This window comes from Homo sapiens, chromosome 8 (genome assembly GCF_000001405.40).
Source record: "Homo sapiens chromosome 8, GRCh38.p14 Primary Assembly".
NCBI classification, from domain to species: Eukaryota; Metazoa; Chordata; class Mammalia; order Primates; family Hominidae; genus Homo; species Homo sapiens.
The window spans coordinates 61,533,990-61,552,438 of NC_000008.11; the positions used below are offsets into that span (position 1 = coordinate 61,533,990).

At 38.4% G+C, this 18,449-nt stretch overlaps 1 protein-coding gene across 72 annotated transcripts in view; it reads right to left on the bottom strand.

Moving 5' to 3' along the window:
- The window catches only part of ASPH (aspartate beta-hydroxylase), a 214,037-nt gene that overhangs the window by 33,434 nt on the left and 162,154 nt on the right, over positions 1–18,449 (bottom strand). For all 72 annotated transcript variants that reach the window (NM_001413901.1, NM_001413909.1, NM_001413895.1 and 69 more), the window contains one exon: positions 14,082–14,219. In NM_001413901.1, the coding sequence (NP_001400830.1) occupies positions 14,082–14,219 (138 nt within the window). The remainder of the gene's footprint in view (positions 1–14,081; positions 14,220–18,449) is intronic.

Sequence of the window (18,449 nt, forward strand, 5' to 3'; positions counted from 1 at the left end):
CAGGCTAGAGTACAATGGCGCGATCTCGGCTCACCACAACCTCTGCCTCCCGGGATCAAGTAATTCTCCTGCCTCAGCCTCCTGTGTAGCTGGGATTACAGGCATGCACCACCATGCCCAGCTAATTTTGTATTTTTAATAGAGATGGGGTTTCTCCATGTTGGTCAGGCTGGTCTTGAATGCCCTACCTCAGGTGATCCGCCCGCCTTGGCCTCCCAAAGTGCTGGGATTACAGGCGTGAGCCACCATGCCCAGCCCACTCATATTTTCTATATATCTCTAATAATTGAATTTTCTTTCTTTACTTTTACCTCCTTTTCTCCTAGACTAGTCAAATCTTGTAATATGTAATCCAACCATCTAGTGATGCTTAGAAAGAAAATCCTATTAGCCGGCAAAACCCCTTATTAGTCTTTCAAATTCGTTTTTAAGAGATCATCAAACTCAAAGTAATGATATTCCACATGCTAGAGATATGCAGTAGAAAGTAAAAAAAAAAGTATCAGCATATTTTACATTTTGAATCAAACTCTGCTAATCCATATATTGATTTCTTGTTGACCTGGTTTCTTTTTGCCTCTTGGCCTATACACTTTCCTTGCATCACTTAGTTAGTATATCCTCAATCCCATGACACACTCAGATGATGATACAAGTGATACTTGAGGTTTGACCTAAACCATTTTAATTTTGTTCTAATCAATCATAATTGGTCTGAGCTTTAAATATTTTCTTGTATGTGGGAAAATAGGACCATTCCGAGAAAAGTTTTTGCTGAGGCAGTTAGTACACATTTCAGTAACGGGATTTACGAAGGAAAGTCACTAATGGTAATTTGCAAGGGCAGCCATAACAAAGTATCACTGGGTGGTTTAAACAACAGAAATTTCTGTTCTCACAGTTCTGGAGGCTAGAAGTTCAAGACCAAGGTCAGCAAGTTTGGTTTCTTTCGAGGGCTCTCTCCTGGGCTTACAGAGGGCCAACTTCTCACTGTCTGCATGTGGCATTTCCTTGGCGGACATGCATCCTGGGTGTCTCTCTTTGTTTCCAAAGTTCCTCTTCTTATAAGGACACCAATCAAATTGGACTACGGTCCACCCTAATGGCCTCTTTTTAACTTCACTATCTCTTTAAAGACCCAAACACAGTCTCTTAATACAGTCACATTCTGAGGTCGTGGGGAGTAGAATTTCAGAGTAGGAATTGTGGGAAGCAACAGTTCAGCCCATAACACTTATATAGCTTCAAGTTTGAAAAAGCTCTAGCTACAAAAGCAAACAGCAGATGGAAGGGGATCAAGAATATATTCACATCAACATAGGAAAAGGTAAATTCGCAGGAGCAAAATAAAACACAGTTTTGAAGAAATGCAGGAAGAGCTGTTTTTAACATGTGAACAAAACAACTCTTAGGGTTCAGTGTAACATAAGCAAGATTAGGTTAGTAACTGTTTGTGACTAGCTGTTAAGAAAAAGAGGCATCGAGAAAACAGACACTGGAAATTGAGAAAAGTCCCAGAGTTTTATACATTCCTTGAAAGTTTCTGACTCTAAATTGAGGAAAGGGATGCTGTGAAAGGCTATTCTTGGCAAAGTCTGTGTATTAAATTGGAGTTAGAATGAATTGATAACAATGGTGCATTAGTATACTGTGTACTAAATTTTATCTAATTGGTTAAGAATATGCTTGTCATTAGTTATTATTTGAGGAATTATGTATCTTATTTTTAAGAGATAAAATCAGCTTGCTTAAATTTTAGTCAAAACATGCCTATACTCTAAACATGATAAGACGAGTAGCAGTGTAATCTGCCTTAGAAACAACATCCCAGGATGGCGGGGATCCCCCTGGGTGCTGAGACGAGGTTATTACATCAAACACCATGGGACTGTAATGCTATTGCAGCAAATTCTCTTTGCAATACTTCTAACAACACCGCTAAGGAAATTACTAGCATTAAAGTGTAATCTCTCACTGGTCCTAATACACTTTGATTAGATCTCCTTGTTTTTCAAGTGTGAATATACAGATAAAAGAAAACAGGTGACTTTTTTTTTTTTTTTTTTTGAGACAAGAGTCTCACTCTGTCACCCAGGCTGGAGTGTAGTGGCATGCTCTTGGCTTGCTGCAACCTCTGCCTCGCAGGTTCAAGCAATTCTCCTGCCTCAGCCTCCCAAGTAGCTGGGATTACAGGTGCCCGCCACCATGCCTGGCTAATTTTTTGTATTTTTAGTAGAGATGGGGTTTCACCATGTTAGCCAGGATGGTCTCGATCTCCTGACCTCATGATCTGCCCACCTCAGCCTCCCAAAGTGCTGTGATTACAGGCGTGAGCCACCGCACCCAACCAACAGGTGACATTTCTTATTGTGGAAATAAAAGTCAATGAAGTGAGAAATGCAAAGCCTATTTATTCTAAGCTTGCTACAGCAAGGGAGTCAGCCACTGTCACTTGTGTTTTGGCAGACACTCTAAAGGCAGGCAGAGGAGTAGGAAAGCTTTATAATAGGAAGAGAAGGCTTCAGGCATGCTCTGAGTGGGGGCTGTTGGCCTAAGGAAGCTAGAAGTGGCTAACTAGAAGCAGGACATCCTATGTGATTAGAGGAGGGTGCATATTTGGCTCTCTCTGGTTGGGCTTACGTTGGAACTGTGGACAAAATTCAGGGAAGCCTTCAGTTATTAATCAAATCCTGGCTATTTGGGGCTATTCTGATTGTTACAGAATTGATTGTGTAGCTCCCTGGATTGTTACTAGATACAGAAGTCTGGCTTCCTGCAAGTCTGACTTATAGCATGCTGGTTTCCTGGGCTGTTTATCATAGATAAGGGATTGGTTTCCTGGGCAGGTTACTGCAGGTTGTGGGTCAAAATTCTATTTTTACATATAGTCTGGCTACTGACTGTGAATTCAGCCTCTCATCATCCTTGCTGAAGGAAAAGGATAACATGAGGCACCTAGCTAGCACTGGGGTGACAGGAGAGTCTTGGAGAAATGACTTTTGCTCGTTCTAGTGAGTGAGAGAAAAAGGATTGCTTCACCTGAGAGGAAGGAGAAAAGATAATCCAGGTTGCCAGGACAAACAACCAGCCTGAGGGCTTCAAGGACTCAGATGGCAGAGGAGAACCATATTCCTCATATATTGGCTCAGACAGGCAGGGAAGCCAGTCCGCCCTATCAGTCAGAGAAGGTAAAGGGAAGATGGGGAGCTGACTTCATGTCCCACCTACCAGCTGGAAACAGTGCACTAAGGGACATCCTGAGTGATGCTAGAGTAGCAGCCCCACAGTCACTAATCTCAGGCAGCTGAAACTTTATGTGTATATAAGCAACAAATTTCTTGACAAAGAGATAAACAAATTGCCTATAATGTGTATGTGCATATGCACATTTTTTCTAAGAGACAGGGTCTTGATCTGTTACCCAGGCTGGAGGGCAGTGGCACAATCATAACTCACTCCAGCTTCAAACCTCTGGGCTCAAGAAATCTTCCTGCCTCAGCATCCCAAATAGTTGGGACTACAGGTGCACACCACCATGCCTGGCTAATTTATTATTATTATTATTATTTTGTAGCAACAGGTCTTGCTATGTTGCCCAGGCTGGTTCTTACTTCTGGCCTCAAGTGATCCTCCTGCCTCAGCCTCCCAAAGGGCATATGCATATTTAAGACATCTATCTGTGTAGCATATTGAGACAAATCATGACCTACTGAATTAGACATTTTAGAACCCCAAATGGAGTACCAACCTAGAGGTATAGTTTGCAATTATTCTGAAATATCAAACGTTGTGCTGTAAGTTCCCAAAGAGGGTCAGAGAGAAAGCCAATTTGTAGGTCTTTTTTTTTCTCCCACATTGACAAATAATAAAAACTCACTGATTTTGCTTTCAGAAAAAAAAAGCCTCTTTGTATGAAATAACTCAAAGAATATAAAACACTGTGTTCCTTTGCTCTGCTGCCATAATTGGCATCATAGGCCACCCTATAGCCTCAGCCGTGTGGACTCTTATTAAGGGCTCATATCTAAATAGCACACAGGAACATCCATGATGGAAGGCTTCATTTTGTTTTGTGTTTTAAGCCTTACCAAAACGTCACGGGAGAAGAGGAGCTGAGGTAATTATTTTGAATTTAGAGATAAAAAAACAAAAAACAACAAAAAAACAGGCTCAGATGGGTAAAAGGACTTGCCCAAAGTGTCAGAGCTGACAGCAAAACAAATCTGTTTCTAATTATGGAGCCCTTTTAAAAAGTTCACCGTTAAATCATGTAATTATCAAACTCCACACTCCAATTGTTGTTTTGTTGACATCTTCAGTGAAAGTGTCATCGAAACCCAAACAGTTTAAAGTTTGATTTAGAAAGATAAGACTAAGCTATTATGTTAATCTTAAGAAATTGCTTTCAGTACTTCTTGATACTATATTTACTTTTACATAAAAGTAAATTATATAAATTATTAATCCTCTTAATTTACAGCTTAATTCCACTATAAATCTGACATTTTTGCTTTCTCAAATTATTTCATTTCAAAAGCAGTCCAGTGAAAACATTCAAGTATTTAATTACAAAGAAAGAAATGCTGAACCACTAATTTAGTGCTGTGTAAGTCTTATTTTTGTCTAGGCGAAGTCATTCATACACAATGGATTTCTTAATTAATAAAAGCCACAGTGTGAAGGAAAGTGACAGAGTGCTATTCTAATCAATCATTCCAATGCACTATGTCACATCACTGGCAAAATATTACTGGGCACTCTTCCAGCTGTAATAAAACTACAATATGAAGAAAGGCAAACTTATATATGATGCTATTTTGGATCACAAAACTTATTTATGATGCTGTTTGGATGTGTTTATATCCAAGCAGCTGCGCTGAAAAACTGGGAAAAGAATGCAGTTTTCCTTTTTCTCAGTGATGAATGCAGAGTTAGACAGCAGGAGAAACAAATACAAAAAATATATTTTAGGCCAGGTGTGGTGGCTCATGCCTGTAATTCCAGCACTTTAGGAGGCCAAGGTAGACGGATCACCTGAGGTCCGGAGTTTGAGACCAGCTTGGCCAACATGGTGAAACCCGTCTCTACTAAAAATACAAAAATTAGCCAGGCGTGGTGGCAGGCGCCTGTAATCCCAGCCACTTGGGAGGTAGAGGCATGAGAATCGCTTGAACCCGGAGGGCGGAGGTTGCAGTGAACCAAGATCACTCCACTGCACCCCAGACTGGGCGACAGAGTGAGACTCCATCTCAAAATATATATATATTTAAAATTATAGTTTTTGTTATCAGCGGTAGTTTTCTGTATGGGTCTGCAGCAACCTCAATTCTTTCCTCCTCAGAAGGATGAATTCGACTGAGGGGCATAAAGCAGGAGAGACCGAGGCAAATTTTAGAGCAGGAGTGAAAGTTTGTTAAAAAGCTTTAGAACAGTAAAGAAAGGAAGGAAGGAAAGCACACCTGGATGAGGGCCAAGCAGGCTGAGAGATCAAATGCCCTGCTTGACCTCTCGGCTTGGGGTTATACTTCCAGGATCTTGCGTTACTTCTCCCCACTCCTGAGACCTTACTGGGAAGCTGCTGATCAGTTTCAGGTGTTTTCTATCTATTAGGAGACTGCCTTTCCCTGGTGCCGGCTGTGACCAATTATTACTTTAGAGAAAAGTTAACAACCGCCTGACCATCATGTGATGGTCACCTAACACTTCTGGGGTGTGTGTGTGTGTGTGTGTGTGTGTGTGTGTGTGTGTGTGTCTGTCCCTCTCCTGCGCTGCTTATGCCTGACGAGCTACCTACTCTAACAGTTTTGAGTTGCTATTGGTTGTTTATTTTCAATGTTACTATAGTGTTTTCTATGAATGTGTGTTTACATCTAAATTAGTGTGGATCAAATAGTTAATCCCGAAAAGGGAAGAGCAAAACTCTTAAGCTTTAATGGCTTTTCTCTAACTATAGGACATCTTTTCTATTTTTACCCTAGCAAAGATTTTAATCCATTTTTGTTTCAATTTCTATGTTAAATAAGCCCAAGGCACTTGGTGCTTTGATAGTTGTGATTTGGGCAACAACCTACTCAATTTTAAGGAAAATAAGCTGAAAAGAGAAAACTCTACTGGAATATTTTTCACTAATGTTTTCCTTGAGTTGAATAGCCTCTCCACACTCCTAGTGCTAGAGCTGCCAAATTATATTTACACAATGAGGGGTGATATTGTTTGGATGTATGTCCCCATCCAAATCTCATAATCTCATGTTAATTGTAATCCTCAGTGTTAGAGGTGGGGCCTGGTGGGAGGAGATTGGACCATGGGGGTGATTTCTCATCAACGGTTCAGTACCATCGCTCTTGGTACTGTCCTCGTGATAGTGAATGAGTTCTTGGAGATCTGGTCGTTTACATGTATGTAACACCTCACCTGCCCCAGCTCTCTTGCTCCTGTTCATGCTGCCATGTAAGCGTCCTGTGATTGAAAGCTTCCTGTGGCCTCCCTAGAAGCAGATGCCACCATGCTTCCTATACAGCCTGCAGAACCGTGAGCCAATTAAACCTTTTTTCTTTATAAACTACCCAGTCTCAGGTATTTCTTTATAGCAATGCAAGAATGGACTAATACCAGTCTCAGGTATTTCTTTATAGCGATGCAAGAATGGACTATTTCAGTTTAATGCTAACATAATTTCAAGGGCATACAGAAATTCAACCAAAGGGGAAAACACATATGATGCATTTTACTGAGCACTGTCCCCTGCCTTCAGGAAAACTGCACTCTATCTCTCACTGTAATGTAGAGCAAGAAGTAAGTTGAATGAAAATGTGCTATCAGGCCAGGCGCAGTGGTTCATGCCTGTAATCCTAGCACTTTAGGAGGCGGAGGTGGGTGGATCGCTTGAGCTCAGGAGTTCTAAACCAGCCTGGGCATCATGGTGAAACGCCATCTTTATAATTTTAAAAATAAGAATTGAAAAAAAAATTAAGAAAGGGAAATGAGAGGCCGGGCACGGTGGCTCACACCTGTAATCCCAGCACTTTGGAAGGCCGAGGTGGGCGGATCACGAGGTCAGGAGATCGAGACCATCCTGGTTAACAAGGGGAAACCCCGTCTCTACTAAAAAATACAAAAAATTAGAGTTAAGGCAATATAATGGTTTTGTATTTTAAAAGATAGAATTTATTTATTCAACATGACTTTTATAAGAGTAAAGATATAATTCATATTAAAAAAAAAATTAGCCGGGCATGGTGGTGGGCACCTGTAGTCCCAGCTACTTGGGAGGCTAAGGCAGGAGAATAGCGTGAACCCGCGAGGCGGAGCTTGCAGCGAGCTGAGATTGCGCCACTGCACTCCAGCCTGGGCAACAGAGTGAGACTCCGTCTAAAAAAAAAGGGAAATGCCCTATTCATGGTAGTTAAAAGTCACTCAAGGGCCAAAATCTGGGTAATTATTCTAAAAGTATTTTGGCCAAATGTTGCAGCTACTAAATCTAGAGGGTTTCCACTTTAAGACGTCAATACTTGGGTGATGTTCCATGACTCATAATATTCAATTCTGTAATTTGAAAATTACAATAGAAGAATATCTTGATGTTCCAGGGTCTGTCAACTAAACGGTCAATGAACTCTGGGTTTCTGCACACAGCAGCTCTCTTAATGTCACAGTCACTACTGTCAAGTGGTCATCCTGACGTTACTTTTTTTTTAAGTCATAAATTAACATTCCTGCAAATATAGTTCTCAAAGTACAATCACACAGCATGGAGTTGTAACCATGAGATGCCACACACACTGAGATTCCATGCACTGAGAATTCTATGATTCACACTCTGATCTTGCTTTTCTTCTTAAATAAAGCAGAGTTTAAGACAGGCAGGGCTGAAAGAAAAAAGCCCAAGGAAATAAGAATTTTAATAAAATACTTGATATCAAAAAGGAAAAGGACACAAGATATATAAGCAGAAGTCAGTAACTTTGACAGCAGTAGTGGGGTACTGGCAAGCAAACAGATTTTGAGGACAAGGAGAGCTTTTAGTTGATGGTTCCTAATTTCATTCCTTTGTGGTCAGTAAACATGCTTTGTATGATTTCAGTGCTTCTAAATTTGTTGGGGCTTGTTTTATGGCCTAGTGTATAGTCTTTCCTGGTTAATGTTTCATGTGGACCTGAATTGGATCACTTTTTAAAAATCTATTTTGTTAATCTGTACTTTTTGATTGCAGTATTTCATGTCCTTACATTTAATGTAATTGCTGATAAAGTCTGCCATCTTGTTATTCATTTTTAATGTCCTTTTTGTTGCTGTTGTTGTTCCTCTGTTCCTCCATTACTGCCTTCCTTTACAACAGATAGATATTTACTAGTGTGCCATTTAATTACCTTGTTGTTAATTTTACCCTACTTTTTTGAGTTATTTTCTTAGTGGTTGCCCTGGGCACTAGAATTAATACCTTTAATTAAAACAATCAATTTCAATTTATTGCTAACATAATTTCAAGGGCATACAGAAATTTTGCTCCAACATAAATCTTTTCCCCTTCCTCCTTTGCACTATTATCATACAAATTACATCTTTCTATGCTATAAGTCCACAAACAATACATATTACATTTATTGCTTTATGCATTGGTTTTGGAATAAGATAGAAGAAAAAACTAATAAAAACACATATATTATCCCTTTTATGTTTACCCACTATCTTTAGTGATGCTCTTTTTTTTTCTTCATGTGGATTTGTATTACCATCTGGTATCTTTTTATGTCAATCTAAAGAACTGCCTTTAATATCTATTGTAGAGCAAGAAATATTGGCTAGCATTAACTTCTCCCAGTTTTTATATATCTGGAAATGTCTTAATTTTGCTAGATATAGAATTCTTGGTTGGCAGTCTTTTCCTTTCAGTATTTGAATGTCATTCATTGCCTTCTCTCCTCTATGGTTTCTGATGACAAGTTGGCTGTTCATCTTAAAAGGAAGGTTCCTTTTGTGCAATAAGTCCTCTTTCTCTGTGTGCTTTCAAGAATCTCATTTTATTTGATTGTCAATTTGAGATTAGAATTTGAAAAAATAAAATGAAAGTGAAAATAAATTTTAAATTTGGCAATTTGACTGTGATGTGTCTAGGTATGTTTCTGAGTTTATCCTCCTTATAATTCATTGAGCTTCTCAGATGTGTAGATTAATGCTTTTTATCTAATCTGGAGGATTTCTGGCCATTATTTTTTCAAACAGTCCTTCTGCCACCTCTCTTTCTTCCCCTGAGGATTCCATTATGCATATGCTGGTACACTTGATCGTGCTCCATAGGTTGTTTTCTTCATTCTCTTTTTCTTCTGTTCCTTAGCATGGATAATCTTAAAGAACCTATTTCCAAATTTGTTGATTATTTCTTTTACCAGCTTAAATCTGGTGTTGAGCCCCCCTAGTGAGTTTTTTAACTTAAGATATTGTACTTTATGACTCCAGATTATCTGTTTAGTTCTTTTTTATAATTTCTGTCTCTTCATTGGAATTCTCTATTTGGGGAGACGTCATTGTAATAATTTCTTTTAAGTCTTTAGACATAGTTTTCTTTAGTTATTAAAACATACTGACGATAGCTGACTTGAAGCCTTTGTTTAGTAAGTTCAGCATCAGGGCCCCTCACAGGCAGTTTCTATTGACTGCATGCTTTTCTGTGCATGTATATACTTTCCTATTTCTTTGTGTGTCATATAATTTTTGTTGAAACTGGACAGTTTTTAGATAATACAATGTGGCAATTCTGGAAATCAGTTCGGTCCCTCTCATAAAATTCGTTGTTGTTCATTTTTGTTATCGTTGTCACTATTTGTTTGTTTACTGACTTTCTGGATTAATTTTGTGAAATCTCTATTGCCTGTAGCCTTACCTGTAGTTGCTCTGGGCACTTGTAATGTTAAAAAAAATACCTGCCAATAATTGTTTTGACTAATAGCCTGGGAATAGAGCTTTTCTTGCAAGTGAGGACAAATAACAACAATGTCCTGAGAATGCAGCTTTCCAGGTAGAAAGAGAGAGGTTTAAAATGGTGACAATGCTCTGGGTATGGAAATTTGTGAGGTACTAAAAATGTGATGTGGCCCCACTAGTGCCTGGAAAGCTATGGTTTTCACTGCTCTAGTGTTTTGAGATTGCCAGTTTTCAAGGCTACCCTGGAACTGGGGAAGAATGGTTGGGAGCAGTTAAAATTACCACCCCACAAACCCTGCTATTCTTATTCAGGTTCAGCACTTTTTCCTTCAATAAATATTCCTCTAATTGTTGTATGTCTTTGCTAATGTACAGAGTTCTAAAGAAGTTGATTTTAACAATTTTTCTCAGTGCTTTTGTGGAGGGGTAGATTTATGAAGACATTCCCTCTGCCATTCTGATGTTCTGCCTCATTACACAATGTTTTATAAGCAATTAAATGCTTGAGGTTTCATCAGGAACTGAGAACATTCTAAATATCCTTCTTTCTTAAGCAGTAACAATTTCAAGAAAATGAATACCTTTGTCCCTTGCTCCTAAAATAGCAGGTAGAGATAATTTTCTTTCTCTCTAGGCCTTCCTCTCCTGGTGCAGTGCAGTAAGGGAGAATTTTCCTCACATTCAGGAAAAACCAAGGATACCAACTGTTGCAACTTCTTATATGTAAGAAATGCTCAGTAGTAACATTTTTAAATCCCTGGAGCTTCTAACATATTTATGAAAAAACTAGAGAAAAGAAAGTTTATAGAAGGTCATACAATGAACCTAATTTTTGAGAACCCATCATGTATTAGAGACATGGTCCCTGTCATCTTAGAAGACACAATCTCAGAGAACTAAGAGACTTTAGAATATAGTGTGCTATTTAAAAAGAAAGTATAAAGGGCTTTTGGCTTTATGCAAAGGACTGATATTCCTAGAAGAAGTGACAATTTCTCTAACATCTGAAGGATAAAAAGGAATTGGCTGTGAAGGATATATGAGAGAAGGAAAACAGAAAGAGGTAAAGAAAGAGTCCTCCAGGAAAGAGGGCTACCGTATGGGAAGGTCTGTTGGAAGAATTTTGTCTGGAATGAGGATGGTAAAGGGCAGTGGTAAGAGATAAAGGCAGACTAAAGCTGAATCACTGACTGCTGTGGTCTGAACGTTTGTGTCCCCCAAATTCATATGTTGAAATCTAATCACTAATGTGATGGTGTTAGGAAGTGGGGCCTTTGGGAGGTGATTTAGGCAAGTAAGATTATTGTCCTTATAAAAAAAGCCTCAGAGAGCTGCCTTCTCTTTTCCATCATGTGAAGACACAACAAGAAAGCACCATCTACAAACCAGGAAGCAGGCCTTCACCAGACACTGAATCTGCTAACACCTTAGTCTTGGACTTCCTCAAAGTAAATTTCTATTGTTTATAAGCCACCGAGTTTATGGCATTTTGTTACAGCAGCTTAAATGGACTACTAAGACACTGACCAAAACTGGAAAGCTGGAAAACGATATTAACCAAGGGGTTACGTGGTGAGTTAATGTTCACACCGAATGTTAATGTTTTAATAGAGCTGAACATAGAATAGAAAGAGTGAGAAGTCCATTTGGGGAACATAGCTTTGGTAGAATTTTCACAGCAGTTAAACCACAGTGGAGAAGATTTCTTAGAAAATGAATGGCAAGAAAAAGAGAAAAGAAAGCAAAGAACAATGTTTGGGTCCATGTCAGCCCATAGTAGACTGCCTTCACACAATCAATCATGCTTCTTTCTTCTTAACAAAAGTCTGACTTTGAGCGTCCACCTTCCTCCAGATAAACCATTTATTTGATTTAGAGGAAACTAATCCTTTTCTGGCTGTAGGGTTTGATCTGTTGGTTTAAGAATAATCTCATATCCCCCTGCCAGTAATTCATCTAGAGTGGAAATCTGACTTAAATTGGCTCAATAAGACTGAAAGGAAAGATTACTGGTCCTTAGATGATAGAGAGGTACACCCTCTCTCCTCCTGGAAGCTGGCTGCCTCAGACTGTTGCCAGCCATCTGGTGTTTCAGACTCCCTTGTAACTGTGAGTGCCCATGAGACATGGTTCCCACCAATAGAAGAGGGTCTGCCAGGAGGTTTCCAGAAGGCCATTTACGGCTGGGGTGGTAGCTCAGCAATGTCACTCTCTCCCCCTCTCTTCCAGTGGCTGCTGGCAGCCATCCTGCAGTCAGCCAGCACAAGGACAAAGCTGACCAAGGAGGAAGTGCAGAGCCAAGAACATCTTCCCTTGATTATACTGCCCCGAAGTCTGCCCTACTGCTAGGCTTCCAGCTATGTCAATCAGTAACATTTCTTGTTGTTTAAGCCAGGTTTGAATTGCATTTCCGTGTTTTGAATTTGAAAGGATCCCAAAAGGTACAGTAGAGAAATGAACTCACAAAGAGATCATGAATAAAAGATAGTAAAGCAGAATCAGAAGAGTTCGATGGGATCCAATCTGAGGGAGGGTGAAATTTGACAAAAACAAAACAAAACAAAAAAACCCGACAGTGCTAAATGTAGCCGACCTATCAAGGAAGATGTTGTTCTTGTGCTATTTCTAATCTGGATATGGAACTTTAAAAAATCAATCTGTATTAATTGTCACCATGCCATGGTTCCCTGAGCTATAAAATATTCAAAGGCTAACCAATGGCAGCCTATTTTACAATTGGATTATGAAGATTATAAAGTATGCTTTTATAATGACATACAGAATAAACACAGTCAAGTAAGACATAATCTAAGTACATGAAAACCTCTTTTCCCCAAGTAGACCAAATTAATCAGTGAAGTCTTGTAAGTCTTATAGATACAGTTTATTTTAGATGTTACTTAAAAGAAAAATTATGAAAAATTTCAACATATACCTAAAGGAAGAAAGAACAGTATGACAAACCTCCACATATCCATCAGCCAGATTCTAACATTATCAATATTTTGTCACTCTTCCTCTTCATCCCTGCTTCTTGCACATGTAAAATCAATTGTTTGAACATCAGAATATATTTTCTTATATAAACCATGTACAAATAGCAATTAGAGTCTGAGGTCAAAACCCTGAAGCCATCTAACCTGTAAGATACATGAAGTTTTTACATTTTGAGTAGAAAACAACATGATTGGAACTATGAGTTAATTAACTGTGAGTCTCATTTTATGACTGTCTAAGAAGAGGGGGCTTACCAAAGCAAAAGTAAACTTCTGACCAGTCCCTACCAAAGTCACCAAGTAGAGACCGTTAAAGTTCAGGTTTAACCTACTAATATAAAACCTTCCAATTATTTTTATAGCTATTTAGAATCACTTAGTTTCTCCAAATGCTACAACATTTTCTGCCACAGCATTTTCTAACAATATTTATAACTGCGTTTTCTCTCCATAGTTGCAGGGCCAGTGGTTCTCAAAGTGTGTTTCAAGGACATCTGAGAGTTCTCTAGACCCTTTTAGGGGCTCTGCAAGATCAAAACTACTTTCTTAATAATACAAAGATATTATGTGCTCTTTTCATTCTTTTCTGGGCACACAGTAGAGTTTTCCAGAAGCTACATGAGGTAGGACATCACAGCTCTAACAGGTACATGTGTGAAGCACATGTGAGGATTCTCCTGTTGTCTATTAATCCAGACTCTAAAAAGATTTGTAAAAATACAAAACAATTCCAATCTTCTCACTACATTTTCTGTTTTGAAAATATAATTTTTTTAAAAAGTTATTTATACTGACATGTTATGAGGTTATTATTTTTAAATAATTCATAAATATATATATAATTTTCTTTCACTTTTAATGTCTAATGATTATATTGGTAGATGTAAGCCACATTCCTTGGGGTAGTCAATAATTTTTAAGAGTATAAGAGGGTCCTAAGGCCAAAAAGGTTGAGAACTCCTAAGTTCCGCACAAATTCCCTTCATCATCTAAATGAAACTTTTGGTTAATGAGATGACAATTCTTTTTCCATTATATTTTGCAAATGTCACTAGAAATAAAATCTATCTCTTCCCTGACATTCCTTTTTATGATAAACATTTTCTGATTTTGAGGAGGAAATAGACAAAGATCTGGTGAGGATGATGTCTAAGTTATACTTACCTTTACTAACTCTGTGTAGCCCGTTTCTTTTGGGGTCCACCAAGGCTGTGCTTTCAGTCCATTCACATTGTAGAGTGAGCGTTGCCAGACAGATGCAAAGTGTCCTCTCTTGTGCCCAAGCTCATACCACTTATATGCCTGAAGGAACAGAAAGAATGTGCTCCAAACTGTTCCTTCAACAGAGCATTTTTATTAATTTTAAAATTGAAAACATTAAAAATAAGGTATTACTTTGACACATTTAAATAAAGAGCTTACTGCTAGGTACTCAAATCTGTTGAAATCTGGTGAAAATATTGTTATTTCACTGGGTTTCTGATTATGACCTATTTGTATAATGAACATGTACATTTTCTTTTCCCCCTTAGGCTGCAGTCTCTCTGGATAGTGGATTCATGCCCTACACATTTTGGTCTCCCTCGAGTGTCCAGCAGGGAGTCGAGCACTTATTTTTTGAATGAATAAATAAGACACCAAAGGGCCTTTTCTATTTTCTATTTCCATTAGAAAAAGATTATGATTTTAATAATTTCTTCAAAGATATTTGCATTTACTGAATCAGAATGCTAAAATAAAAGCAGCTTCTTTTCACATGTACTTTCCATGTCCACATTTAAGAAGGTCACACCAAGGCGTCAGAGTGCAAACCCTCCATTAAATTAAGTAGACAGAAGGGAAAAATTATTCTGAGTGGGCAATAAATACAGTGATAGCCCATTTTAGATTTTTAAAGAAGGAATTTTTGTTCATAATATATATTTTTTTCTGCCATAAGGGATAACATGTGTGGCTTTAGGCTAGCTGCAACATGATACTACTTGCCTCCAAGACTAGCCTTTTCAGGGACAGCTGGCTACGGAGCATGACGCTCTTTATGGCTCCTTTAAATGATGCCCTCACCATATGCTCTCCAAGGAGCCCTGCCCACTTCCTGCACCATGCATGTTCCATTGTCTTTTGAATGGAAGGCTTTCTAATGGTACACTTAATATTATCCCCTCCACTACTGCAAACCTGATCTAATGATTACTTTTACAGAGATAATTCAAATGTATTTTTGATAAATAAAAATAAGCATTTCATAGTAACTTGAATATCTTCTTTGTAAATCACCAGATACACTTTAGATGTAAAAAATGTTAACTTTTCAAATTTTCCCTCATTAGGAGACTGAAGGGGGATAGCAATATCACCTCATATTTTCAGTAACACTTTACATTGACTACTTTCTTTGAATGTGTTATCTCATTTGATTTTTCCAATAACCCCAAATATCTCCATTTTACAAATGTTGAAACTAAGGTTTATAAAGGCTAAATCTTCTGAACTAGCATTTGGGGCTCCTGGCAACTTATTCTACTCTCCTCCTATTTATATCATTTAGCAAACACTATGAAAAATGATTTTCTTATTTAGTTATCTTTTTTATTAATATCTGAAACTAAGAATGCATATACAAATCATTCTTAAATATTTTCCTTACAATACATGTAAGTTGTAGCCAGAATTCCTTTAAAAACTAGAAAGTTAAAATGGCTAATTGTTATCTAATTTTTTTAAAAAATAGCATATATCTCTGAAATTAATTTGACTATTGTGGTTATTTTTGTCCAACTAAAATTTAGGATTTTACTTCCTATGCTTTTCAGGGCAAAAGTGAACAATAATACTAAGGACAACAGATTGTTTTTTCAAAAATCTGACAGTCCATTTTTGAGTCATCACAATTCATTTTAAGGATAAAGTGTATTGCTAGAATAGTGAGAAAAGAAGTTATTGTAGAAAAATAAAAACAGCAAACATTATAGCTGTAGTTCAAGAGTTGGAAGCCTTAGATTTTAGTTCCGGCCTTTAATTAGCCCTCGACATGCTAGATGTCTGGGCAAGTTACAACAGCATGTTTAAACTATCTATAAGGTCTTTTCTGACACTCAAAGTAAGTAATCCTGCATCAAGTAGGACTCAATTTTTCACTCTCCTGTCATATAAATTTTAGGAGAAACAAAATTGTGAAAGTGATATATCAGAAATTTTTAAAAATCACCTTTAATAATATGTGACACAGGGGACCCAATGAATTCAGCTAGAGTGCTTTTTAAAAAAAACCTAAACTACTTTACAATAAAAAATTGCTATAAAATCAAAGATCAAGTTAGAATCCCCTGAAAATTTCTCTACTATTTCCTGTCTGATCAGCAATTTTCCTGTCTAATCAGCAATTAGGAATATTAAAATAGACAGTAGGAGGCCCTGGGACACAGGGGCAGTAAGAGCCCCTGGGCCACATTTAAGAAGTTAAATATATTTTATATCAATGTTGTCTCTACTTTCTTCCAATCGTTGCTATGTATGGTTTTTATGCACATGTACATACACACACACACACACACACACACACATAAGAGAAAGAGAGAGAGAGAGAGAGAGAGACAGAGACAGAAAGTATGTCAGATGACTGGATCCCAGAAAAGCCCAGGCCACATCTGTGGAATGGGCTGTCATAAGTGGCCCCAGCTGGGGTATGTTCTGCCTGGAGCCCACTGTCCAGTGAGGCCTGAGAGACACACTTCTGGTGAGAAGAGCTGGCTGCAACTTGCCTAAGGATTGTAAATGCTATCGCGTGCAAACAGAATGTTATGTTATTTTGCATGGTAGGCTTTTTGAGCATAGGGTGGCTTGAAATAAACTGAGACCAAGCAAGAAACAACATCCAGGTTCTCACAGCTATCATTGAGGACGCAGTTGACAAAGACAGGAGTTAGCACTGACTGAGCAAGAGGGAGGGTGAGGGGGATGCCAAAAACATGAGAAAACCAGATCTCCATAGCTGGCCCTGACTAGACTGGAGTAAGGAGGAGAGGGAGGAGCTCAAGCTCACTCAAATCTTGATCCTGGGAAGACGGGAATATCATTGAATGAGAGAAGGAACCTAGGAGGAAAAACGGTTTAGAGAAAGACAAGTAAGTTGTCTCTGTGCCATCGTGTGGGACACTGAGCTGGCAGTAGACATGAGAATGGGGACTTGGAGAAGGAGACTAAATCTAGCTAGAACGTGGATTTGGAAGTTATGGGAATACCGAGAACTGCTATCTGAATTGCTGCAGACCCTCATGGTTTGTCCCCCGTCTTCCTGCCCATACTAAACGGACCACTTAGAAAAATTTTCCTCACAACCCATTTTCTTGTCAGTCTCTGCAGCACAGAGGCTGTGGCTTTGCTTTTTGCAGATCCATCCTCTTTCAGAGTTGGAGCAGTGCTCTAGGCATAAAAACGTGAAAGGTGTTTACTTCCTGACATGCAAACTCAGAGCACGACAGCCAAGTCAGACTCAACACCTAATGCTGGGAATATACTAACATGGAGTTTCTACAGGTTTGTTTCTGTTCTCCTGTAAGAACGAATCCTTCTGAACTTTTTAAATTCAAGAACTGTGCTGTTCTTTGCATATTCATGATAATTAAGTTGGTAGAACAGTCCCATACGTTCAAATCCCAAGCCCTTAACAAGTGTATAGTAATGAACTTTTTGCCCTTGAAGTAACGGCTGTTTTCATCTAAGATGTGAGATAAATCATAGGCTTCTTTCATCTGTCTTTGCCCTGGACTCTGAAATGTTCAAAGATAAATTAATTAGTGATGATTACATTTACAGTAGTCAGACATGAACATTTATCCAGTGTTAGATGTTGTAGCAAAATCTTTCTTATCCCTCTCATTCAAAGGAGTTCTGAGTGATTACATCTAAAAGAAAAATGCGATGCAAAAAGGACTACTAATCAGCAATTTCTTCTCCCATCTTTCTCTTTAATTCTAATATCTCATTCCATTTCAGTTGACTGGTAGGTTAGAGGGGGAAAGGTACAGATAAATAGACATGTATAAATCAAAAATTGTCAATTATCTGAACCTCTAGTACCTCCAGATTGGTTCATGTTCCTAGCAGACAATTACGTTATCACAAACCCCTTCACTTCTCTGAACCCTCAATTCCCCAGATGATTCCATGTTCTTACTAATTTTAGAAACCTGAAGCTGTATTATCCTTAGATGTCACTTTATTACATACATGGGATGCAATGGTTACAAAGATTCAGTGTCTCACTTTACCCTTTTATCCACTGACTCTAAGGAGAGCCCAGCTCTCACCCCTGCAATAAAGCAGGACAGGAAAGGAGGGCTTTGCCATCCAGCAGGGCTGCATAAATCGTAAATCATGGTAGACTGTGACAGAGTTTTGAAATTTATAGCATGCGATGTCATGATTAATGAGACAATGTTATGGTTATAGAAGCAGACACTGTACTCAGAAAAAGGTAACCATTACAAAGGAAACATGGAACTTTTTTAGCTACTACATTTTTTGTGTCAA